This window comes from Homo sapiens, chromosome 1 (assembly GCF_000001405.40).
Source record: "Homo sapiens chromosome 1, GRCh38.p14 Primary Assembly".
Lineage (NCBI taxonomy): Eukaryota > Metazoa > Chordata > Mammalia > Primates > Hominidae > Homo > Homo sapiens.
In genome coordinates, this window is record NC_000001.11 from 42,429,934 (window position 1) to 42,456,054 (window position 26,121).

The window sequence follows — 26,121 nt, forward strand, 5'->3', positions numbered from 1 at the left end:
ATGCCTCTCCCCTAGACTGTATAGATGGCCCACATCTACTTCAAATTATTGTCTGAGATAAGAAAGATGCCACCCTGGAATGGCATCTCAGTCAATCCATACTGAAGCTCCTTGACAGGCCCAGGGGCCTCCTCTGGCACAGGAAGACCTTATATCTAATTTATGCCTGCATTTTGCTATTTGTTTTCTATGTGTCTCATGTCCTTTTTGTTCCTCTATCTCACCTTTTCTTTAAGTGGGTATTTTCTAGCATACCATTGTAATCCCTTTGTTGATTTTTAACTATTTTTAGAGTTATTTTCTTAGTGATTGCTCTATTATAATGGGTACTTTATCACAATCTACCTCAGATTAACGCTAAGTTAATTCCAGCATGGAATTAAGAATAGAGAAACTTTGTTCCAATATAGCTTTATTCCCTACCCCCTCCTTTACCCCTCCTTTAGCAAAAGTGTATGAAACATGCATCGTTGGAAGACTTCTGGGAAATGACAAACTATTTGTAGTTTAATTACAAATACCATATTAGTGATCTGACTACATATTACTCAGTCATACAAAGTCATGATAAATCAAGTACAAAGGTCATGACAAACACAGTTTTTAGTGATTTCTATGCCTAAAGCTTTATATTCCCTTAATATGCTGTGTAAGAAAAAAATAACAGCTATGTGTGCAATCCCAGGGGAAGAGGGTGGAAACTTCAGCAGTCTACAGTACCTCAAAGCAGTTGTGCAAGGCTGGAATATATTAGATCTTCAGTAGCCCCTGGAATAACCCTTGATGCAGAGCTCATGGGTCACTAAGTAATGGGATGGTCTTCAGTTGAAATGAGACTTAATAACTCTTGAATGGTGCTTTGCTCATGGACATCAAGCTGTTGTTCTTTGGCTAGACTGAGGGCCCTCATGCCATATTCCTGTGCCTGAAATAGAATTGCAGTGACAAAAGGAAGTTGTCACAGGAAAGCATAACACTGGGAAGCCCCATCTGTGCTCAACTCCAGAAACATGAGAGAGAACTGACCACCTTTTCACACCACCCACTGAGCTCTTGTTGATAAACCTGTAAACACACTGGGCCCTTACAGCTAGCCACATGTGCGCTGGGCAGGGCACCAGAAAAAAACCCCACCTGACTTGACAAACTAAGTACAAACTAAGTATACCTTCTTAACAAAGTGAGATCTTTGTAGGACCTTAATCAGGCCCTAGAGGCCATCACTGGAGGGCATAGAGGTGACAGGTGCCACAAGTAAATTACCACTCTGGGGTGGTCCTGGAGACCATGTGGCCCAGAGTTTTGACTTGGAAAGAGGCTCCCCTTTCTTCCTCCCTTCTTCTCTTCCTTCCTTCCTTCCTATAAATTGTTATTGAATGGTTACCATGTTCCAGGTCCTGTGAGTATAGGCAGAAATTCCTATTCTCATGGAACTTACAGTGTAGTAGGGGAGAAAGACAATAAAGAAGACAAATAAGTAAAACACGACAGTATCTTAAATGATAAATGCTAAGGAAAAAAATAAAGCATGAAAGGGGATAGGAAGCATTAGAGGTAGTAGTGGGGGTTTGCAGTTTTAGACAGGGAGAGCAGGGAACGCTTCACTGAAAAGAAAACAGCTGAGTCAAGTGAAGGCCTGAAGGAAGTGAGGTGCCAGTCTTGATGGATAGATAGATGTGTGCCTTTTGTCTAAGGTCTCTTGTAGATCTAACACACCCTGGGGTAATGACTTCCTTGAGTACACAGTGGAAAATTGGACATTGCACCGTAGAAATGAGGTTTTGTCCAATGTAAATTTGAAAGTTCAGTGGAAATATTTTCCTATTCCTCACCCATTCCTACCCCTATCCCAGGTAGGGTTAGTGCCCTGTGCACTGTGCTCCCACAGTGCTCTGGGCTTCGCTGTCACACTCTATTATAACCTGTGAGCTCCTCCAGGCCTGGTATACTGCAGGTGCTTAGTAAAAGTTAGCTGAAGAAAGAAAAGAAAAGAGGGAGGAGGGAGGAAAGGAGTCTTAAATTTTCCCATGTCACCCACACAAAAAGGGCTCCCTCCAACCAGCCTCCTCTCTCTCCCCCTGCCAACTGCTTTTTCTTCTTCTTCTTCTTCTTTTCTTTTTCTTTTTCTTTTTTTTTTTTTTGAGACAGGATCTTGCTCTGTCACCCAGGCTAGAGTGCAGAGGCACAAGCACGGCTCACTGCAGCCTCAATCTCCTGGGCTCAAGTAATCCTCTTATCTCAGCCTCCCGAGTGGCTGGGACTACATGTGCACACCTCTAGCCCGGCTGATCTTTTTATTTTTATTTTTAGTAGAGAGTGGGTCTCATTATGTTGCCCAGGCTGGTCTTGAACTCCGGGACATAAGCAATCATCCCTCCTCAGCCTCCCAAAGTACTGGGAATACAGTCATGAGACACTGTGCCTGGCTAGTTTTCTTTATAACAGTTTCTACTATCTGAAATTATATTACACATACATATGTTTATTTCCACTCCTCCAAAAAACACCAGTGCCATAGAGATAGGAAACGTATGGATCACCACTGTATCCCCAGTCCCTAGATTAGTGCTTTACAAATGGTAGATTTTCAATAAATGTTTGAATGAATGAGAGAATCAACCAATAAGTCAATAAACCTGAGATATGCTACTTGCTGTCTGTAAGACATTGGGCAAAGAATTGACCCTCTCGGTGCCTCAGTTTCCTTGTTTGTAAAGTAGAGATAATAAAATAGCTACCTCATTAATGTTGGTGTAAGCATTAAGTATGATAATTATGTAAAGGGTTTAGGCCAATAACTGGTAGGTAAAAGTACTCAAAAAGTTACTTTTTGAATCATTTCATGGCAATGCATTTCTGCCTGAATCCCCGCAGCAACAGGGAACTCAGTAACTGAGTGGAGTTAGAGCGGCTACTTCATCCATCCAAGGCTCCCCAGAGCCTTCCTGCCCTGCAGGCTTCCCAGCACTGCCTCAGACTCTCTTTATCTATGCAAGACTGGGAACCCTCGGGGGAAGAAGACAATCCAATTTCCATTATGCAGGCTAGACTCAACACAGGAGAAACATCGTGAGCATCTGAACCTCTTTGGAGTGAGGGCTTGCTCTGAGGGCAAAAGCTATTGGAATTGGGCAAAACACAAATTTTGAGTTCAACTAGTTGAATTTCTACCTTCATTTTAGACGTGTTGCTTTTTTAGGGAAACTTGCCTTTGAAGAATTCATCATCAGGTAGTAAAACATGACCAGGATCTTCAGAACAAAGATGGTTTTTTGGGGGGCTTTGTCAGATGTAGATTCTCGAATGTTCAAGATTGAAGTCAGGATGCGAATGGCTTCTGCTTCTTGGGCTTCATCTGCATTGGAAGGGGAAGAAAGAAAAAACAGGCTCTTGGCAACTGAGTCTGCCCTCATCAAAAGCACTCAGCTGTTAAAGCGCCTGGTCTGCTGAAGCCTTCCCAAGGGCACTGGTGGAAATAGCACCAATTACAGCAAGTTTTTTACCTAGAGGACTCCCTCCAGGTGCAAAGCAGGAAGCTCCGAAGCAGGAGTTTCAGACCGCTTTCCAGCTTTGCTTAGCATGCCATTATCAGAGTAGCCTAAAAATAGGCTCACTCCCACAGGTCCCAAAGTTGCTAAGGTTTCTCTCTTTCGGAGTCCTGAACTCTAGATCTCTTGGGCTTACAAACACAGATAATCTGCCACAGGCAGATTCCTTGGGTCCAACTCAGATTCCACTCTACAGCTGAGAGGAGAGAACTGGGGGAAGGGACTTCTTGCAGCTGCAGCAGCTTAACTCTTCTCGTCTAGGCCATAGATGCGTAAGCAACAACCTTCATGCTTCCCTCTGAGAGTCTGTTTACTATTTTCCCCAGTAGTTTTTGGTCCTACTTTAGTCATCATTTACTGAGAAGTCACTACATGCATTTAAAAGCACTTATACAAGTACTAAGCTTAGAGAAAAAGACGAAAAGGATATACACCATCATGTTAAGGTTGGCTATCTTTGGATATCTATGATTTCCAAGTTTTCAGCTATAACATGAACTATTTACATAATGAGAGAAAATTCAATAAAGTTATTAATTTTTTAAACTTTAGCTCAAAACCTCTCCTCCAAAGAGTCTTCCTTCTTCAACACCACCCAGCTGTCCTCACCTCTTCATTCTGGGACTCATCTTGTAACATAATTTGTACTCACAGGAATGTTCTTTTGTTATTGCCTATAGGTTCTATATCACCAACTGCACTGTATGTCTCTTTTGAGCAGAAACTAGATCCTCTGTGTCTTTTCATTGTCTCTGAGGGCATGATGCTGTACGGTACTATTCAACACTTAGCCCTTTGCTGGCCCGGGGAATACAGTTTAATCCAACTGGGCCCTGCCACTGAGAAGCTCACTGTTCAGTAAAGCATGAAGTTAAGGCACCAGAAGAAATCAGCAATGCACCTTCTGTGTAGAGTCTACCTTGGCTTACGTGTCCTGGAGCAAGAGTCCCCAACCCCCAGGCCATGGACCAGAACTGTTTTGTGGCCTGTTAGGAATCGGGCTGCACAGCAGGTGGTGAGCAGGGGTGGTAGGGGCGAGTAAAGCTTCATCTGTATTTACAGCCACTCCCCATTGCTTGCATTACCACCTGAGCTCCACCTCCTGTCAGTTCAGCAGCAGCATCAGATTCTCTTAGGAGCGTGAACCCTATTGTGAACTGTGCATGCAAAGGATCTAGGATGTACACTCCTTATGAGAATCTAATGCCTGATGATCTGTCACTGTCACCCATCACTCCCAGATGGGACCATCTAGTTGCAGGAAAACAAGCTCAGGGCTCCCACTGATTCTACATTATGATGCATGGTATAATTATTTCATTATATATTACAATATATTAATAATAATAAAAACATAGTACACAATAAATGTAATGCACTTGAATTCTCCTGAAACCATTCCTCCCACGCCCCCCAGTCCATGGAAAAATTGTCTTCCATGAAACGGGTCCCTGGTGCCAGGGAGAGATTGGGACTGCTGCCCTGGAGGGATAACATAGAAATGGATGCTCTGCAGAAATCACAGGGGGCTTTGATGTGGTCTTTTTTTCCCTCTAAATCTGTCCCTTAGTAACCCCCGAATGGCTATGTGTGATGATAGGGATCTGAATTCTTCCCAACACTGGTAAAATCTCTTTGATCCCCGTGTCTCAGTTTTCTCCATCAGCAACATGGGGAAGGTGGCAATGGTGTGCTTCATGACAGGGACAGCTGCTTTCCCTCTTAGGGACAAGGTCTGTGTATTGGGTGAGATGAAGTCACTGCTCTCCCTTCAGGGAAAACTGCCACTTACCCAAGCCAGTGTCATTCTCAAATAGTTTGCCCAGTAAATCCATTTGTTGGATGTGAGCCTGTGAGAGGACTTGATAGTGATTGTTCAAATATGCATGCCAGATCTCAGAGACCTGTTGGGAAAAGAGATGGTAATACAACAAGCAGGCCAGACCTCAGCCGTCGGACCAGGCAGGTGAGGAGAGTAGCGCATTTGGCCGGGCTTCTGGACAACCTGGAGGTTCTCTCTCTTACTGTGCCTGGAGGCAGAGGGAACCCTAGGAGCCCAAACAGGCCTGGCCAAGGTAAGTGTGACAAGTGATGGGCTGAAAAGGGCCTGTGGCAGCTCATCTTGGGGTAGCCCTAGTGGGGTCTAATAACAGTGGTTATCTTTTGTATAGCACACACAACACGAAACCTTCACATCCTCACAACATCCTGATGTAATATTCTTATTATTCCCATTTTACATGTAAATAAACCGAGGCTCAGAGAAGATCACACACGACTTCTGGTAAGAGCTGTTAAGTGGCATAGCCAGAATTTAAACCCTGGTCTATCTGATTCTAAAGCTTTTAAACTACAGCAAAATGCCTCTTTCTCAGAAGCAGGTCTAAAACATGAATCAACAATCAGCAGAAAGCCTGTATTACACATTTATTACACAAATGATTGCCTGCTAAGTGAGGTGTTACTATATGGATACAGCTGACATTTTAATATATTGGAAACAGTTTAAAATATTTTACATGTAAATATGGAAATTTCTCATGTTCTTGGATCCCTTGACAGGATCTTGTAGCAACAGACTTCCCTTGGAAATCTCCTTCTCTATCGCACACTTCAATAAGCCCACATTAGCTTGCTGCTATGGGTATGACACAGCATACAACAGTCTATCTGAAGGGGTTTGGCTCTTACTGACCTGTCCTTCATTATTCGTTAATCACCCTACGGATGTTAAGGGTTAGTCTATTTTGGTAGTGGAGACACTGGAAGAAAGAAAATGGAGTATATCATGTATCAGGCTATATAGTCTTGGGCAAGCCACTTCATCTCTCTGTGCCTCTCTTTCTCATGAATGGTATGTTTTTCATGAATAGTCTAATACAAGTTGTAAGACACCAAGCCTAAGAGTGAAGGCTCAGCTCCCACATTCCCCAGCTCACCTTGGTGTACAATGTGTCTGCCAGGTCCAACTTTTTAAGGTCATAGAATATATTAGCCAGGTGGAAGTAGCCTCCTGAAGTCCTAATGTCCTCTGTTCCAAATGCACAACTGGCAAAATAAATCTATAGCAGAAGGAAGAAGGAGAGTGCTTGAGTTCCTTTTGCAAATCATATATCTGATAAAGGACTTGTATCTAGAATACATACAAAAAACTGTTACAACATTCCAATTTAAAAATGGGCAAAAGATCTGAATTGACATTTCTCCAAAAAGATATTCAGATGAATAATAAGCACATGTATAGATACTAACATAGTAATTAGGTAAATGCAAAACAAAGCTATAATGAAATATCACTGCATCTAGGATGGCTAGAATCAAATACAGAAAATAAAAAGTGTTGGGAAGGATATGGAGAAAATGAAACCCTCACACATTGCCAATGGGAATGTAAAAGGGTGCAGCCTCTGTGGAAACAGTTTGGTAGTTCCTTAAAAAGTTAAACATAGAGTTACTACATGACCCAGAAATTCCTCTTCTAAGTACCTACCCACAAAGACTTGTACGTAAATGTTTATATCAGCATTATTTAAAATACACAAAACATAGAAACAACCAAAATGTCCATCAACTGATAAATGGATAGACAAATTGTAGTATATCCAGGCAATGGAATGCTAATCAGCAATAAGAGGAATGAACTGTTGATACATGCAACAACATGGATGAATCTCAAAATAATCACCCTAGGTGAAAGAGGTCAGATGCAAAGGACCACACATGATGCTGTCTGTATGAACTGTCCTGAGAAGGCAAATTTGTAGAAACAGGAAGTGGTTGCTGGGGCTGGAACAGGAATGGGAAATGACTGCGCATGGATACAAGGGATCTCTTTGGGGTAATGGAAATGTTCTGAAACTTGATTGTGCTAATGGTTGCGCTACTCTGTAAATTTGCTAAAAATAATTTAATTGTACACGTAAAATGGGTGAATTTTATGGTATATATCAATAAAGCTCTGTGTGTGTGTGTGTGTGTGTGTGTGTGTGTGTGTGTGTTTAAAAAGCTAGGCTAAGGAATCTGAGCTTGTGCTAATTTTTTTTTTTTTTAAAGACAGAGTCTCCCTCTGTCGCCCAGGCTGGAGTGCAGTGGTGCGATCTTGGCTCACTGCAACCTCGCCTCCCGGGTTCAAGTGATTCTTTTGCCTCAGCCTTCCGAGCGGCTGGCATGACAGGCACACACCACCACACCTGGCTAATTTTCATATTTTTTTTTTTGGAGACTGAGTCTCACTCTGTCGCCCAGGCTGGAGTGCAGTGGCGCAATCCTGGCTCACTGCAACCTCTGCCTCCCAGGTTCAAGCAATTCTCCTGCCTCAGCCTCCCAAGTAGCTGGAATTACAGGCACATGCCACCACACCCAGCTAATTTTGTATATTTAGACGGGGTTTCACCATGTTAGTCAGGCTGATCTAGAACTCCTGACCTCTGGTGATCCGCCCATCTCGGCCTCCCAGAGTGCTGGGATTACAGGCGTGAGCCACTGCGCCCAGCTAATTTTTGTATTTTTCATAGAGACGGGGTTTCACCATATTGGTCAGGCTGGTCTCGAACTCCTGACCTCATGATCTGCCTGCCTCAGCCTCCCAAAGTGCTGGGATTACAGGCGTGAGCCACCACACCTGGCCTACTAATTCTTAACTGTGTGGCCCAGCTCAGGACAGAATGTGCCTCTGCTTAATTTGTTGGAGGATGTAGAGTATAGAGAGGAAACACAAAGAATTGTATTAGTCAGGAGCCCAGGTGGAACTAGATGGCACCCTCAATAAGATTGCCTGAAGATAGTTTAGTGGAATTATTACTTGACATGTAGAAGGGTTAAGAAACCAACAAGGGCTAGGGAAAAGCCCTACGAGTAAAACCAACAAAGCCTAGTGAAACACCAGGGACTACCAACAGCAAGAAACTATTACCATCCCTACACCTGAAACAGCAAGGGGAGGAAACAAGGTTACCAGGGCCCAGCAAGAGCTAGCACTATGGAAGAAGGCTGCCTGACAGGAGCTGTGGCCACAGAGGAACACTGTTCCTGACAGATCAGGGGTGGGGCAGAGAGGCAGCAGAGAGAATCAGTACCCCAGCCTTTTTCTCCTCCTACTCTCCACTCCCCTACTATGCCTTCCACTCTCCAAACCCAACCAAGGCCAGAGAGCAATGGAGTCCATAGAGGTTGTGTAGTCCATAGAGGTCAGGCTCCCAGGGCATAGAGTAGGGCAGAGAATGGATATGGGTTAGTGGAATTTAAAGAATAACCAGCGTAAAATTTAATTTACGGGCATTGTACAGGCGGGCAACCAGAGGAAGGGCTGCTTGGTGCAGAGGCCAGAAGAGAGGCTGAAGAGAGAACCAACCTGCATGGAGACTGCAGTCTGACTCTACGCTAACTCAGATTTCACGCCCAGGAACTCTTTTCTCTGGTAATATTTTCCAGTACTGAAATCCTAATAGAAACCCCTTAAATTTTGAAAGAACAATTCAGTTATCATCCTCAACATCCCATCTAACTTTGTACAGAGTTTTATCATCGATAAGTGCTTTCTTATACATCTAGCTCTTTTAAATTTAATAACCAACACTCTGAAGTAGAGATATTACTGTTATTTTTTAAAATAATAGCCAAGGTACTATACATTTATTGTCCTATTATTAATCTTCGCAATGACCCAGTGAGACAGAGACTATTTTATTATTCCTGTCTTGCAGGTGATGAAAGAGGTTAAACAAATTTTCCAAGACGATGTGGCTAGTGAAACAGATCTGTGACTAGAAGCAAAGCCCTTCTCTCTCTCTCTTTTTTTTTTTTTGAGACGAAGTCTTGCTCTGTCGCCAGGCTGGAGTGCAGTGGCGCGATCTCGGCTCACTGCAACCTCCACCTCCCGGGTTCAGGTGATTCCCCTGCCTCAGCCTTCCGAGTATCTCGGACTACAGGCATGCACCACCACGCCTGGCTAATTTTTTGTATTTTAGTAGGGACGGGGTTTCACCATGTTGGCCAGGACGGTCTCAATCTCCTGACCTCGTGATCCACCCACCTTGGCCTCCCAAAGTGCTGGGATTACAGGCATGAGCCACCATGCCCGGCCAGCAAAGCCCTTCTCTTAACGAGTATGCTGTTTTGCCTCCCTTTACTCTTCAGGGCAACTGAAACTTCAGGAATATGTGACCTGGCCAAGGTTGAATAGCTATGAAGTAGAAATGCTTGAACTCGGGTCGGTAGAATTGTGTTATGGCTAACATCCCACCAAATAATCAGTTGTAAACAGAAAGTTTTAGAGAAATGCACAGTTTTAAAAAAATTAAACAGATTTTGGAAATATACAGGTGTTATAATTTAGATTTTGGAAATATACAGGTGTTATAACTTAGCTTGTTTACATCATTGGCCAGATGATAACGGGCCTCTTCATAGTTTTTCTTAGCTATATAGAGAAGTCCCAGATTCCGATGCAGTAAAGAGTGGGTGGCATTACTACAGTCAGTTGATTTGAGGACTGTCCACTGGGCTTGGAATAGATATTCTTCAGCCTGAACGATTCGGCCCAGACCTGCCCAAAAGCAGAAAAGAAGGTTATAATTCATATCCAGGCCAAAGAACACATGAGGAAATATGAGTCATTACCCATTCACTCATGTATTCATTGACTCAAGTATTTATTGACACAGAAAAACTCATACAGGAATGTTCACAGCAGCCTATTTGGAAGAGTAAAAAAAAAAAAAACAGAAACAATGTAAATGTCCATCAGCTGATGAGTGGATGAACAAAAGGAGGCATCTCCATCTCCATCTCCATCTCCATCTCCATGAGTGGAATATTACTCAGTCATAAGAAGGAATGAAGTAGTGCTACCTGCTATAATGTGGATGAACTTTGAAAACACTATACTAAGTGAAAGAAACCAGACACCAAAGGCCACATATTGTATGATTCCATTTATATGAAATGTCCAGAATAGGCAAATCCATAGAGACGGAAAGTAGACTAGTGGTGGCCAGGCGACAGGGGGAGTCCAATGCAAGGGAGGCACTAACAGGGGGTCCAATGCAAGGGAGGCACTAAGAGGGAGTAACTGCTGACAATTACAGGCTTTCTTTTAGGGGTGATGAAAATGTTGTGGAAATAGATCATGGTGATTGTTGCACAACCTTCAGAATGTGCTAAAACCAACCACTGGATTGTCCTTTTTTTGTTGTTGTTGTTGTTTTTTTGAGGGAGTCTCACTTTGTTGCCCAGACTGGAGTGTAGTGGCGCGATCTCGGCTCACTACAACCTCTGCCTTCAGGTTCAAGTGATTCTCATGCCTCAGCCTTCCAAGTAGCTGGGACTGCAAGCATGCACCACCACGCCCCACTAATTTTGTATTTTTAGTAGAGACAGGGTTTCACCATGTTTGCCAGGCTGGTCTCAAACCCCTGACATCAGGTGATCCACCCACCTCGACCTCCCAAAGTGCTGGGAATACAGGCGTGAGACACTGTGTCTGGCCTTAATTGTTCTTTAAAAGGGTAAATTTTATGATATGTGAATTATATCTCAATTGTGAAATATATATATGCATATTTAATACCCTTTCTGTGCCAGGCCTTGTGTTGGGTGATGGGGAATCAAAGTGCAACATGAAAACAAATATATTTACAATATAGTATAATTGCAATAGCAACACAAGCTTTGGAAGTGTCAGAGGATAGGAAATGTTTAATTCTATAGATGAGATGGAGAGGGACACTGAAGCAGAGTCTGAGCTGGGTTTTGAGGATGAATAGAAGTTTTCCAGGTAGATAAGGCAGGGAGAGCATCCCAGGCAGAAGTAACAGCATGTGCAATGTCATAGAAATATGAAATAATATGTTATGTTCATAGAACTATATAGAGTCACAGCTGCAGGGAACTGGTTCCAGAACCCCCATCAGATACCTAAATATAAGGATGCTCAAGGCTCTAATATAAAGTAGTGTAGTATTTGCATATAACCTATGCACATCATTCCCTATGCTTTAAATCATCTCTAAATTACTTATAATACCTAATACAAAGTAAATGCTATGTAAATAGTTGTTCTACTATATCATTTTTGTCTTTTTTGTTTACATTTTTTCTTTTTTTGTTTATAAGCCCACAAGTAACATCATGTATTGTTTTGTTTTGTTTTGTTTTTTTGAGACGGAGTCTTGCTCTGTCGCCCAGGCTGGAGTGCAGTGGCGGGATCTCGGCTCACTGCAAGCTCCGCCTCCCAGGTTCACGCCATTCTCCTGCCTCAGCCTCCCAAGTAGCTGGGACTACAGGCGCCCGCCACTACGCCCGGCTAATTTTTTGTATTTTTAGTAGAGACGGGGTTTCACCGTTTTAGCCGGGATGGTCTCGATCTCCTGACCTTGTGATCCGCCCGCCTCGGCCTCCCAAAGTGCTGGGATTACAGGCGTGAGCCACCGCACCCGGCCGTATTGTTTTTATTTGTATCATTTTTAATCATTGTATTATTTTTAAAAATATTTTTGACCCATGGTTGCTTGAATGGGCAGATGCAGAACCTACAAATATGGAGGGTGTAGGGACTGTATCGGCCTGTGATGCTGGAGCACAAATTGTGAAAGACAGAATGGCAGAAAATGAGGCTATGGTGGTAGGCAGGGGGCAGGTCATGGAGGGCTTAGTGAGTTATACCAAGGAACTTGATGCATGTGGATAAAAACTAGAGGATTTTCAAAAAGGGCGAGAGAATCAGATTTAAATTTAGAAAGATCCTCTGGAACCAATGTGGAGGAGGGACCAGAGGGGAGGAATAAAGGTAGAAGATTCACTGGAAGATGTCTGAAATAGTTCGGACAAGCACGCTTAAGAGCCTGAAACAAGACAGTGAACTAAAGAGGAGGAGATCAAAAAGAGACAGGAAGTAAAATGGACAACACACGGTTACTAAGTAATGTGGAAGGTAAGAGAAAGGAAAGCCACATTTATTGCTAATATTTAGATACTCTTGACACTTAAAGCTTTTTGTGTATTACATATCATCTTTATATATACAGAGGCCTGCCTACCTGCTTGACTCCTGGGGAAATTTGTCAGAACAGAATAGAAAGCCACTACGTCAGTGTGCTGCAGGGTAGGAGGCGTGCTCTGGGGGCGAAGCATTGGTGTGATAGGTGCTGCAGCAGAAATGGCATCAACAAAGGGTTAAGAGGTAAGGACACGAACCCCTCATAAGCCAACCCTCTGCTCCTCTGTGTCCTTCCTGTCAGACCTAGTTCATATGTAAGCATGCTTTTATTCTAGTTGTAACCCTACATCACTGAATTAAAGGAAAAGAGATGAAGAGGAAGCAGTCTACAAGAAGAAGGAAGTAACTTTGCCTGATGGAAGGTCAAAGTGCAAACTAAAATGGGAAACTACTAGATTAGGAGCACGAGGCCTAGTCCCTGATCCTGGCTCATGTGAACATGGCAAGTCACATCTTCCCTCCAGGCTTTGTCTATAAAATATGAGGTTTAGGCTGAAGTCCTCTCACATTTGAAGAAGCAAATGACTCTTAACTAAGATTGTTTAGATGGGAAAAAAATGGGACAGGGCATTGACAAATATTGGAAATTTAAAATTTTCAACATCCAGTTCTCACTCAAGGAGGCAATGCCAAAGAATGAAGACTCCAAGGCCCAGCTGAACCAGCATCTAAACAAGCATCAGTCCTAAAGGAAAAGGCATACTTGGGAGAATAAACTGTGAGGCTAGAGAGAGAGAGTACGGTGAGAAGAATGGGCTACTACTAGCCCATGAGATTACAGTCAGAACTAAGCTTGTGACCAGTGAGTGCGTAAGTTCAGGCCTGCCTCTTATGGACAGTGCCTACCTGGAGAGGCATAGGGTGAAGTGGAGGTGGTGGAGACATAAAGGAAGTGATACTATCCCTTAGGGTGATTTTACTAGTGTATGGAATTGGGAAAGGACAGCCACTTACAGACCAGTGGTACTTGTCTGAAGGGTGAGGCAACAGGCTTACACTGGGTTAACGGCAGATCTGGGAGATATTATGGGAGAAGATTTTGCAGGACTTGGTGATGAAAGTGAAGGAATGCAGCATACAGCAGTCACAGCTGAGTCAAAGGTTGTGGCTGTGAGGTGCCCAGGGGAAGAAAAGGGAATCTGTATTTATTGAAGACCTGTTATTTGCCCAACATTGTGCTAGTCCCTTTGCATCGGTGGTCTAAGTCTGCTAACAACCCTGTGAAATAATCATCAGATGAGGAATTTGAAGAGGAGGCAACTTCATTCATTCATTCAACCAAACATATATTCACCTAATTGATTGAGTCTCTATCACAATGCATGATGCTCAATGCACACTAAGACATGATCCCTGACTCCAAGAAGCTTAAAATCAAGTGAAGTAGGCATACAATAAATAGACAAAACATGAGTGCTGTGAAGGAAATGAACAGAACACAGTAACCAAAATCCTAGCTCACTGCAGCCTCCACCTGCTGGGCTCAAGCAATCCTCCCACCTCAGTCTCCCAAGTAGCTGGGACTACTATAAGTGCATGCCACCATGACCGCCTAATTTTTTTGTTTTAAGAGATGAGGTCTTGCTAGGTTGCCCAGGCTGATCTTGAATTCCTGGGCTCAAGAGATCCTCCCATTTCGACTTCCCGAAGTGCTGAAATTACAGGTGGGAGTCACCATGCCTGGCCAGTTTAAGCAGACACCTGAAGGATGATCAAAAGCCAGCCACGTATGAGAGAGAAAAGAGCATCCCAGGCAGAAGGAACCATATATGTGAGAGCTCTGAGTGAGGAAGAGCTTGGTGCCTACGATCACCCAGACAGTAAAGAAAGAGATGATATTTGAACTCAGGCTCTCCTGCTTCCAAATCACTCCAGTCTGAAGTAATCTCTAAGATGGGAAAGAAACATGTGCACAGGAAAGTGATTTCTTTAGACTTCCAGAAACGTTAGCAAGGTTTTAAACCAATGACTGTGAAGTTACAGTGAAATCTTCCATTTAGACAGTACTTTCCAGACTTCAAAGCACTTTCATGGTCATTACACTCGAACTCATTTCACCCTTAAAAGAATCCTGTGAAGACAACTCAGATTCAACACATACTTACACAGTGCTCACGAGGTTTCAGGTACTGTGAAATTATCTTTTTAGTACCTTCTCTGTGCTAAGTACTGGGCTGAGTGTGAAGACATCCGTGATAATTAAGAATAGACACAGATCCAGTTCTCCCCTGAGCTTACAGTCTACTGGAGCAGGGAGACAATTAAATAATCTCATCAATGAATACAATTATTAATGGACTAAGTGCTCAGAAGAAAGGAGTAGTTCTTTTTTTTTTTTTTTTTTTTGAGACGGAGTCTCGCTCTGTCACCCAGGCTGGAGTGCAGTAGTGGTGCGATCTCCTCTCACTGTAAGCTCCGCCCCCCGGGTTCATGCCATTCTCCTGCTCCAGCCTCCAGAGTAGTTGGGACTACAGGCACCCGCCACCACGCCCGGCTAATTTTTTTGTATTTTTAGTAGAGACAGGGTTTCACCGTGTTCGCCAGGATGGTCTCGATCTCCTGACCTCGTGATCCGCCCACCTCAGCCTGCCAAAGTGCTGGGATTACAGGTGTGAGCCACCGTGCCCGGCCAGAAAGGGTAGTTCTTTAAACAAGTATATTAAAAATGAGACCCAGCTGGGTGCGGTGGCTCACACCTGTAATCCCAGCACTTTGGAAGACTGAGGTGGGTGGATCATTTGAAGCCAGGAGTTCAAGACCAGCCTGGGCAACATACTGAAACCCTATCTCTACTAAAACTACAAAAAATAGCTGGGCGTGGTGGTGCGTGCCTGTAGTCCTAGCTACTCGGGAGGCTGAGGTGGGAGAATCACTTGTCCCTGGGAGGCAGAGGTTGCAGTGAGCCAAGATCAGGCCATTGCACTCCAGCCTGTACAACAGATCGGGACTCCGTCTAAAAAAAAAAAAAAAAAAGGGGAGACCCAACCTGGTCTGGAGCCCTGGGAAAGCTTCTAGACAAGGCAGTAGTAACCCTTGAGCTGAAACCTGAAAGATGATAAGGAGTTAATTTGGTGAAGGGAAGAGGAGGAGAAGCAGAGAGAGTGGCTACAGAAAAGCCTTTCCAAACAAGGAAATCATCATGCTTCTGAGGAACTGAGAGAAGGCCGGTCGGTGTAACTGGAAGGGAGGGAGAAAATAATTCAAGAGAGACAAGGTGATAGAATTGAGGTGAGAGAATTTGTTAACGGCTAGATCAAGCAGAGCCTCATGGGTTGCTTTAGAAATTTGATCTTTATTTAGAGGAGTGATGGGTCACATTTTTGTATGCAAACCACATTGGAGGGAGGCCAGAGATGATGTGGGGAGACCAGTTAGTAGGCAGTGGTCTAGATGAGAGATGATGAGACTTGGGCTAGGGTGACTTTTCCAGAATCCCATAGCTAGCCAGTGTCAGAGGTAAACAGAACCTGGGCTGTATTTTCTTGTCCAGTGCTTTTCTCATTACTTTGGAGGAAAGACAGTCTGGAATGGGGTGTCAGACCTGGGCAGGGTGAGCAGGGCATTCCTGCAGGCAAACAGCCTGTTATGGGGAGTTGGAACCCACACAAGTGAGGAGGGATCCATGCAGCAGAGGCAGCCTGGAATGGGGAGTCAGGGCCCATGGAGCGGGAAGAGGTATCTATAAGGTGGAAAGGACGGAGTTAGAGAGCGGGGATTGATTCATACAGGGGAACTCATTAATATGTAAATAAACCAATGAAAGTGAAAGCTGTCAGCAAAGGGAGTTGCAATTAAGGAATGGAAGTAAATCAGATTGAACCCTATGGTGCTGTATTAGATCTGGATCAAACAGTATAGACTAGTGGTCATAGAGATATTGATGTAGATATATAGATACAGGCCAGACACGGTGGCTCATACCTGTAATCCCAGCACTTTGGGAAGCTGAAGCAGGTGGATCACTTGAGGACAGGAGTTCAAGATCACAAACATGGTGAAACCCCGTCTCTACTACAAATACAAAAATGAGCCAGGCGTGGTGGCACACACCTGTTGTCCCAGCTACTCGGGAGGCTGAGGCAGGAGAATTGCTTGAACCAGGGAGGTGGAGGCTGCAGTGAGCTCAGATTGCGCCACTGCACTCTAGCCTGGGTGACAGAGTGAGACTCGGTCTCAAAAAAAAAAAAAAGATATATAGATATAGAAATAAATACAGATGTAATGTGTGTATACGTACACCCATTATTATATTTACACTTACTCCCTAACTCCACTGAGAAGGCCTGGGAGCAGTAATACCCCAAAAGCATGAGTACATCTAGTGCACAGCTTTTGGCTTCTGATTTTCACTTTCCACTGAAAGAGATCAGGGCTCTTTAGAGGTATGTTCCAGAAAGCAGTCAAGTGAGCAAAGAACAAATGGGGTTGTATCTGGGAGATGCAGAAGCCAGCTTGAGTGGGGTTTGTCACTGGTCAAATCAGGGACAGTTTGAGGATCAAATTAACGATAGTAATGGATTTAAGCCCATTGAATAAAGATAAAATACTGATACAAATAACTAAATGAATACATTGAAAATTCGATGAGGAATGGGATATTTATATAGTTTCAAAGGACGTATCCATGAAATGAAAATTAAAGTTATTAATTACAGAAGGGTGAAAGAGTAACATTACAGGGAGGAAGACTGGCAGACGCCATCCTAATAAAGTAATTAAAATGAACATCATCAGTAATGAAAAAAATGAAAACATGCCAGTTTATAGGATGGGATGAGAACACAGCATCACCTCTGTACTGTTTTTGCCAAAAATCCATAACGTGAGTCCCATCATTAGGAAATATCAGACAAACTCAAATTGAGAAATGTTTTATACAATTGGCCTGTAACCTGTAAAAGTGTCAAGATCATAAAAGTCAAGAAAAGGTTGAGAAACTATTCCAGAGTTTTGTTGCCAACACATGGCAACAAAATGAAAAGTGTGACCCTGAACTGTATCCTTTTGCTATAAAGATGTTATTGGGAAAATTCGAGAAACTTGAATGGGGTCTTCTTAGATGACAGGGTCCCCTTGTGTGGTTCCCACAAAGACATTCTCCTTCATAACCACAATACAATATATCTCATTTACTAAGGGGACACTGAAGTATTCTAAGGATAGGGAATCAGGTGAACAACTTACTCTCAGAGAACTCAGGGGATAAAAGTTCTTTATATTGTACTTAATTTTAACAGTTTTACTTTTAAAAAAGTTTTACTTTTAAAAAAGTATTTTTTTAATGGTGGCTATTAAAACATATGAAGCATTTTTTTAAATGGTGGCCACCATGTAGGGTATCTGCTAAGTCTGCTCTATACTCTCAGAATTGCCTCTCCCATCTATAGGGGTGGGTTCCTGTATTTCTGAACTATGTGGCTCTGATCCCAGGGAATAAAGGTGGATTCCACACTCAAGCCATGTCAACAAAATTCTGTCTTCTACGAATTTGTATTTGGAAATCAGAAGCTAATTAGTTTCTACTGCCTACTTCAAACCTAGAAAACACGTAAACTGAAAAACTCCATCTGACATTTTGGGGTAGCTGTCTTCTACAGTGAGCATAGGGTAGACAAATCTGGTCTGCAGAGAGGGAAAATAGCAAAGCAGATAGATACCCAGAGAGAAGTAGATACAGGAGACAAGGCCCAAGAGAGAACGAAAGGCACTCCAATTCTAGTCCCTCATGAAGCCTCAGCTCCTGTAGGATACTACAGCACCCGCACAAAGTTCCTCCTTTTTGTGCAGGCCAGCTTGAGTGGATTTCTGCCAGTTGTAGACAAAAGTCTGTGACATCTCCTTCCCTACCTTGTGCTAAACTTTACAGCAACCCTGCTCCTTCTACAATAGGTCTCTTGGTGCCACTGTCAAGGGTGACTCTTTGATCATTGGTGTGACCCAAACATAACACCACTTAAGGGATCCAAGGATCTCAAGTCGGTTTCACTCACCAAGGCTGGCCTCGGCCAACAGCAGGTAAGCAGGCACAAGCTCTACGGAGCTCAGGCCATACAGCTTCACACGGAAGCGAAGGGACTGCAAAGCTGCTGGTACAGCATCTTCGTGTTTCCCTTCAAAGAGGTATTTCTGGGCTATGGTGTAGCAGAATTCAATCAAATACTTCTGTGGAAGAGAGAAACAGACTATCTGAGACAGTCTAAAGTTAAAGGCAAAGGTGGATGTAGATGGCCCTGGGGATAAGGCCAACACCTAATGACCCAGTTAAAGGCACATAGTGAGCCTGCCTGTATTAGAGTGGACGTGAAGCCCCACATAAGTGATATAAGAAAGCAAACTCTGGACTATGAGTTCCTTAAGGCCCAGGAACATGTGTATTTTCATCTTAGTTCAGCGCTTGGCATAGATGAATGCTCAATATAGAGTTATCAGATGAATAAATGAGTATTGTTTTTACAGTTCTAATAAAACTTTACTTTAGCAAAGCTAGCATGTCTCAGGACAATCTGAAACTTTCTGCCTTCCTAGTTGAGTTAATTTTGAGAGAAACATCTCATTTTCCCTTCCAGAATTATCCTGTTTAGCTAATATCACAAAAAACTTTAACTCTGCATTGTTCTAAGGCCACTATCAAAGTGTCATAACACTAAAATGGATGGATCTTATGTTTAGAGATTTATGGCTTATAATAAGGGGCTAATTTTTTAGAGTGATTGAGATGCTCAATACTCAATAATACTCAACACTATACATAATAATAGTGGCAGGTTTTGGTAACCTCCTTTATTTATTCAGTAGTATATCCATACATCATTCTTAACCCTCCTATTATGTGGCCAGACTCTTGGCATCTGTGGATGTTATGGGCTGAACTGTGTCCCCTGCCAAAATTCATGTGTTGAAGCCCTATCCTGCAGTCTGTCACATGACTATAATTGGAGCTAGGGCCTGTAGAGTGGTGATTAAGTTAGAATGAGGCCATTAGGGTGGGCCCTAACCTAATCTGACTTGTGTCTTTATAAAAAGAGGAAATTGGACACACAAAGAGATACCAGGCATGCTTGCACACAAAGGACCATGTGAAGACACTGTAGGAAGGCAGCCATCTGAAAGCCAGGAAGAGAGGCCTCAGAAGAAACCAAACCTGCTGACCCCTTGATCTTGGACTTCCCAGCCTCCAGAGCTGTGAGGAAATAAATGTATGCTGTTTGAGCCACCCAGTTTGTGATATTTGATTGTGACAGTGCTAGCAGACTAATACAGTAAGTATTTAGTAAATGTGGAAAACAACAGACTGGATGGTGTTGAGGACTTAAAAAGATATAAAACAAAGTCTCTGCCCTCCGTGAGGTTACAATTTAGTGATCCCAACACAGTTCGAGCCTTGTCTTGGGCAGCTTCACCGCACCTACGACTTAACCTTGGAAAGTGCCGTAGGCCCTACCTGCCGCTGCTGCAGCTGCTGCAGGCCATGCTGCCGTTCTTCCTCTGAATTGTAGAAGGGCATGGAAGTGCGCAGTGGAATCAAGAGCTGACATATTTTCTCATGGATGCTGTCCCAGTCAGCCTTCTGATGTACCACCCCACTGACAACGGAAACATAGACTTTATGATCTTTATATTTGGCATGACTTAAGATTCCATTAACCCTCCTACTGGCCTATCCCTAGACACCAGAAAAGTAAGCCAAATACAAACCAGGCAGGGAGCTCAAAGCCATTTCTGAGACTCAAATCTCTTTCCTTTCATGTGGTTATTTGATGATGTATAAACTGTGTTGGGATTGGAGAGTATGTTGTTTCTGCAGGCACACATTCACATTCTGAAGTCACACAGGGATGCTGGCATGCAATTGCTCATAGTGTTCTCTTATAATCTCTTTTATTTCTGCAAGGTTGGTAGTAATGTCCTCACTTTCATTTCTGATTTTAGTAATCTGAATCTTCTTTTCTAGGCCAGTCAACCTAGCTAAAGGTTTGTCAATTTTGTTGGTCTTTTCAAGGAGCCAACTTTTGGTCTCATCAGTTCTCTCTGTAGTTTCTTTATTCTCTGTTTTATCTCTGCTATAATCTTTAATTTTCCTTTCTTCTGCTAGCTTGTGTCTATACCCAACACAGGGCTGTGCATAAAGGAGTTTATAAATATGTTTTAGTTTGCTCTTCTTTTTCTAGTTTCTTAAGATGAAATGCTAGGTTACTGATTTGAGATCTTCTTTTCAATGTAATGTATATTAGTATAAATTCATATGAGTACTAAATTCATACAGTAACCTCTGAGTACTGCTTTGCCAGCATCTAAGTTTTAGTATGTTGTTTTTGTTTTCATTTATCTCAAAGCATTTTCTAATTTCCTTTGTAATTTCTTCTGTGACTCATTGGTTAAGAGTGTGTTATTTCTACATATTTGTAAATTTACCAAATTTCCTTGTTATTGACTACTAATTTCATTCCATGTAGGTGGAGAACATACTCTGTATGAAATCAATCTCTATAAATTTATTGAGATTTATTTTATGGTCTAATATATGTTCTATCCTGAATAATGTTCTATACGCACTAGAGAAGAATAGGCATTCTCATGTTATTGAATGGTGTTCTACAGATACCTGTTAGGTCTAGTTGGTTTATAGCGTGATTCAAGTCTTATATTTCCTTGCTGATCTGTCTAATTGTTCTATGCATTACTGAAAGTGGGATATTTGATCTTCTATCTAGTTGTTCTATTCATTACTGAGAGTGGGATACTGGATCTTTCATCTAGTTGTTCTGTTCATCACTGAAGGTAGGATATTGAAGTCTTCAACCATTATTATTAAATTGTCTATTTTTCTCCCCAGTTCTGTCTGTTTTTGCTGCATGTATTTTGAGGCTCTGTTGTTAGATGCATAGTCATGGGTTTTTGCATTTCTATTGCTTATTACACATTTTCACTTAAATGTAAGTTAACTGTTTGATTCCATTTATACATATTTCAAAACAGGTAACAATAATCTAGAGGAGGGATCAGAAAAGCTTTTCTGTAAAGGGTCAGATAAATATTTTAGGCTTGAGAGCTATAGGATCTCTGTTGCAACTACTCAACTCTGCTGTTGTAGCACAAAAGCAGCCACAGACAATATATAGCCATGTTCAAGCACCTTCTTGGACAATATTGCCACCTTCTTGGACAATAGAAATGCAATTAAAGTATATTCTTTACAAGTTGTGACTGCTACCAAAGAAATGACAGAAACCATTTAAAATGTTTTTGGGGAGGTAGAGAATTATTATAAACAGATCAATAAAAGCACTTAGCCAGGATATAGCTGAGTTCCACAGGGAATTTATCAAGTGGGGCTTGTAAGCAATGGAAATGTTAACTTAGATGCCTGAACTTTTGTTCCACTGAGAGCCACTAACATATCTTGCCTTTCTAAATAAAGTGAGCTTTATTTATATATTTGCGGGCTCCCTGCTTATTGATCTGTCCCACCTGTAACACCTAACACAGGGTCAGGGATAAAGTAGGAATGGATAAATGCTTTCAATCAGGGCTCACAATTAAGTAGCTTGTGAGCCACATGTTTTGTTTGGCTATTATCATGTTTTTTTTTAAGCTGAATTTGAATATCTTTAGGTAGGGCATTCATTCTACAATTCACCACTGATCCTATAGCTTCCTATTATTGAATACCACTTCACTGTTTGTTTTCTTAGTGATCTGCAATATTTTTTGCAATAATTTTTCCTTTTGTTTGACATATGAAGCGCAAATTTAAATGCCGTCACTGGCCAGGAGAAGAAAACGAATGGTGAAGTGGTATTCAAGAACAGGAAGCAATAGTATTTGTAGTGAATTACAGAATGTACGCCCTGACTAAAGACATTTAAATTCATGCAAACCTATGGTACTGAAGTCTCTTTTACTTGTCACCAATGTTTTAGTATGTACTTCCATAAAATTACCTTTTCTTAAAAATGTTCTACTGTCCTGTAATCCCAGCACTTTGGGAGGCCGAGGAGGGCGGATCACAAGGTCAGGAATTCGAGACCAGCCTGACCAATATGGTGAAACACCGTCTCTACTAAAAATACAAAAAAATTAGCCAGGCGTGGTGGCGCATCCCTGTAATCCCAGCTACTTGGGAGGCTGAGGCAAGAGAATTGCTTGAACCCGGGAGACAGAGGTTGCAGTGAGCCAAGATGGTGCCACTGCGCTCCAGCCTGGGTGACAGAGCAAGACTCCGTCTCAAAAAAATAATAAAAAAATAAAAGTTCTACTGTGTCTCTAAAGTAAATAAAAATGTGCTATTCTCTGAGAATGGTCATAATCCACTATAGAGCAATATGCACAAGATTACACACAATATATAAAATAAATGTATTCAGAGAAAAGAAGGAAATTCACCAAAATTTCAGGTTATTAATCCCTGGGTTGTGGGACTATGGCTTATTTTTCTTCTTGATTTTTTATATTTTCAGGTTTTCTGCAGTGAGCATGAATTGCAATTATAATCAGGAAAAAAATTCTTTTGCAGAAAAAAACTTTCACAAATTCAGACTGACTTTCTTGTTCCTTAAACTTGGGATGATGAAAAGGAACATTTACTGTGTGCCAACATGGTTCCAGGAAGGGTACTAGATGCTTTACATTCGACCATCAAAACCTATAGAACAACAACCTCAGTTTTGTTTTATCAAAAAATCTTGAAATCTGCAAGACCCAAAGACATAGAAATCTGGAGAAAAGGAAGCAAAAAAACAAAAGGAGAAGGTCTTAAAGAGAATTAAAAGCAAGTAAAAGAAAAAAAATCGAAGATAAGGGCATAGAAGATGATAATTTATACATGCATTTATCAGATATTAGTGCCAACTATGTCTTTTTTTTCACATTTTTATTTTTTGGCCCAAGGGATAAAAGCACAAGTGCCAACTATTTCAAGACACTTTGCTAGAGACTATGGGGCATACAATGACAGGTCGGACATAGATCAAAAGTTAGCATACTTGACAGTCCCTCTGTACACATTTGACATAGTATCTAGCATTAATGGAGCATAACAGAATTGAAATAACACACTCACCAACAATTAAAATGAAGAGAAATATGAGTCATCTGAGAGATACAGAGTACTGTAAAGTTAGTTCAGAGGAAGAAGGAATTACTTCCGGCTGGAGGGATACAGAGGACAGGGGTGTTTTAAGGAAAAAGTCAGTGCTCACACCAAGCAAAAGGATTGAATCTTTCCCAAGCCTGAGTGGCAGGTTTTACCCACGGCGGTTTACTGGCCATCTCTCTGGGGGTGACCCAAAGGCCTCTTAAACTCTATGCCTACAACCAAATCTGATGCCCGTCATCTTTTCCCCGTGTTCCTTGCCCAAGTTAATGGGTTTATTATCCATTTAGTTTTATTCAACAGATGTTCATTGAGTGTCTGGTATGTGTGGCCACTGGGTCTAGTAAAAGACATAGACATCAGACAAGCAAACACAATAATATAAAAGTACAGAAAAAGCAAAGAAAAATGGTACTGTGAGAGAGAAAAGTATGACGGGGAGTTGAGACTGGGTTTAGACCTCTTTGAAGAAATGACATTTAAACTGAGAACTGAAGGATGAAAGGGAGCCAGGAAGGCTTGTAGTTGAAGGGGAGGTTCCTAGCAGAGAGAACAGACTGGGAAAAGAAACTGAGGGAAGAAAGGGCTTAGCAAATTAGAACTTCAGTTCTCTATAACTACAGCAAAGAAAAAATGGGGTGAGTGTGGTGGGAAGTGAAGGTAGAGAAATAACCAGGGCCTTGTATTTTCTGTTACAAATTCTTAATTATATTCTAAAGGCAAGGAAGCCACCAAAGAGGAGATAGCAATGAAAACACAGATACCATCCCTGCCCTTGTGGGGCATACAGCCTAATGAAAGAAATAAATAAATGATTTCAGTCCATGTCCTAAGTGTTAGGATAGGGGACATACTCAGTGCTTTGAGAGCACTGAGGAAGGACACCTAGGCCAGTATGAGAAGGTACTGCAACAGCTTCTTGATCTGTTATGCAGCCGTCAGTGTCTACCTTCCTCTGTATCTGCCACACTGCAGCCCATCCTCTTTCCTTAACACAAATGAGAGCATGTCAGCTCAAAACCATTCATGGTTTCCCAGGAGATAAATTCCAAACCCTTGATCTCATGTCACTGTCTAGCCCTAACCTTTATCTTCTTGGTTTAAACTTCTACTACCTATCACAATGATGTTCCAACTTTTTTTTTTTTTTTTGAGACACAGTTTCACTCTTGTTGCCCAAGCTGGAGTGCAATGGAGCGATCTCGGCTCACTGCAACCTCCGCCTCCCGGGTTCAAACGATTCTCCTGCTTCAGCCTCCCGAGTAGCTAGGATTACAGGTGCACGCCACCACATCCGGCTAATTTTGACTCAACCTATAGTAAGAAATACATTTTTCCTGTACACACACACATGTCCACATAAAACACTAAGACAAAAGTTTTAAGAAACAATTCAGGTAGGATTAACCTGATACTTTCTACTCATTCTGTGCTCTTTTTTGTTGTTGTTGTTTTCTCTAAATGGTGATTGTGACTTATTCATAAACTGCTAAAGGGCCCTGGCCTGCAGTTTGAAAATCACTGACTGCTCCCTCCACTACTACGTTCTCCACTCGGCCCTTAGCAAACTCTGTTCTTTTGCCATTTGCCCTAGCAGTCCCGGATGCCGGGAATGCCCTACCCTTCTTCACTACTCCTGTACACAGCAGGTTCTGACTGCCCTCTCAAAATGCAGCTCAAATGTTTCTTCCACAGGGAAAGCTTTCCACATACTGCCCCATTCACTATCGTCTCACTCTCGTTGCCCAAGCTGGAGTGCAGTGGCGCGATCTCCGCTCACTGCGAGCTCCGCCTCCCGGGTTCAAGCGATTCTTCTGCTTCAGCCTCCCGAGTAGCTGGGATTACAGGCGCCCAGCACCACTCCCGCCTAATTTTTGTATTTTTTAGTAGAGACAGGGTTTCACCATGTTGGCCAGGCTGGTCTCGAACTCCTGACCTCAGGCGATCCGCCCGCCTCGGCCTCCCGAAGTGCTGGGATTACAGGCGTGAGCCACCGCGCCCGGCCTGTTTCTTTACTGATTTGTCTCCCACATTGGAATGTTAGATCTTTGAAGGAACTGATCTACCGAGCTGCCCCAGTAACTTTAGCACCTAAAATAGTGCATAACACAGAGTACGCCTTCAGAAAACATGAGTGACGAATAAGTGGGAGATGAGACAGACGAGGCCACGGGAGTCTTAGGGGCCTGTCTTAAAGCCGTTTTGAGGTGTCCCTTGCAGAGTCAGGGGCAACGGCTAACGCAAGGTACCCAAGCCAGACCCGGGAAAGGGAGAGAGGGAGGGAGTTATAGCGCCCAGGTGCCACGTTTCAGGGCCTACCAGTAATAAGTGACTGTGCAGGCCGCGCACACCCGCTCGGCTGGGGCTTCGCACACCTCACAGCAGAGTCTGCGCCCCTTGGGGACTGCCAGTGGGTAGATCACATTCATGGTGCAGCCAGCAGTGCTGGTCTCTAAGACGGTTGCCCAGCAAGGATACGCTGAACC

The 26,121-nt window shown here is 42.7% G+C and overlaps 1 protein-coding gene across 2 annotated transcripts; it reads right to left on the reverse strand.

The window, feature by feature from the left end:
• Positions 1-395: 395 nt before the first annotated feature.
• Positions 396-26,089, reverse strand: ZMYND12 (zinc finger MYND-type containing 12). Of its 2 annotated transcripts, NM_032257.5 has the most exons (8): positions 25,955-26,089; positions 19,985-20,126; positions 18,534-18,705; positions 9,923-10,092; positions 6,488-6,610; positions 5,341-5,452; positions 3,210-3,355; positions 396-925 (listed from the first exon to the last, which is right to left on the reverse strand). In NM_032257.5, the coding sequence occupies exons 1-8, from the start codon at positions 26,062-26,064 to the stop codon at positions 803-805; spliced, it is 1,098 nt and encodes a 365-aa protein (NP_115633.3). In that variant the 5' UTR covers positions 26,065-26,089; the 3' UTR covers positions 396-802. The 2 variants fall into 2 exon arrangements, with proteins under 2 accessions (NP_115633.3, NP_001139664.1); NM_001146192.2 differs by lacking the exon at positions 18,534-18,705.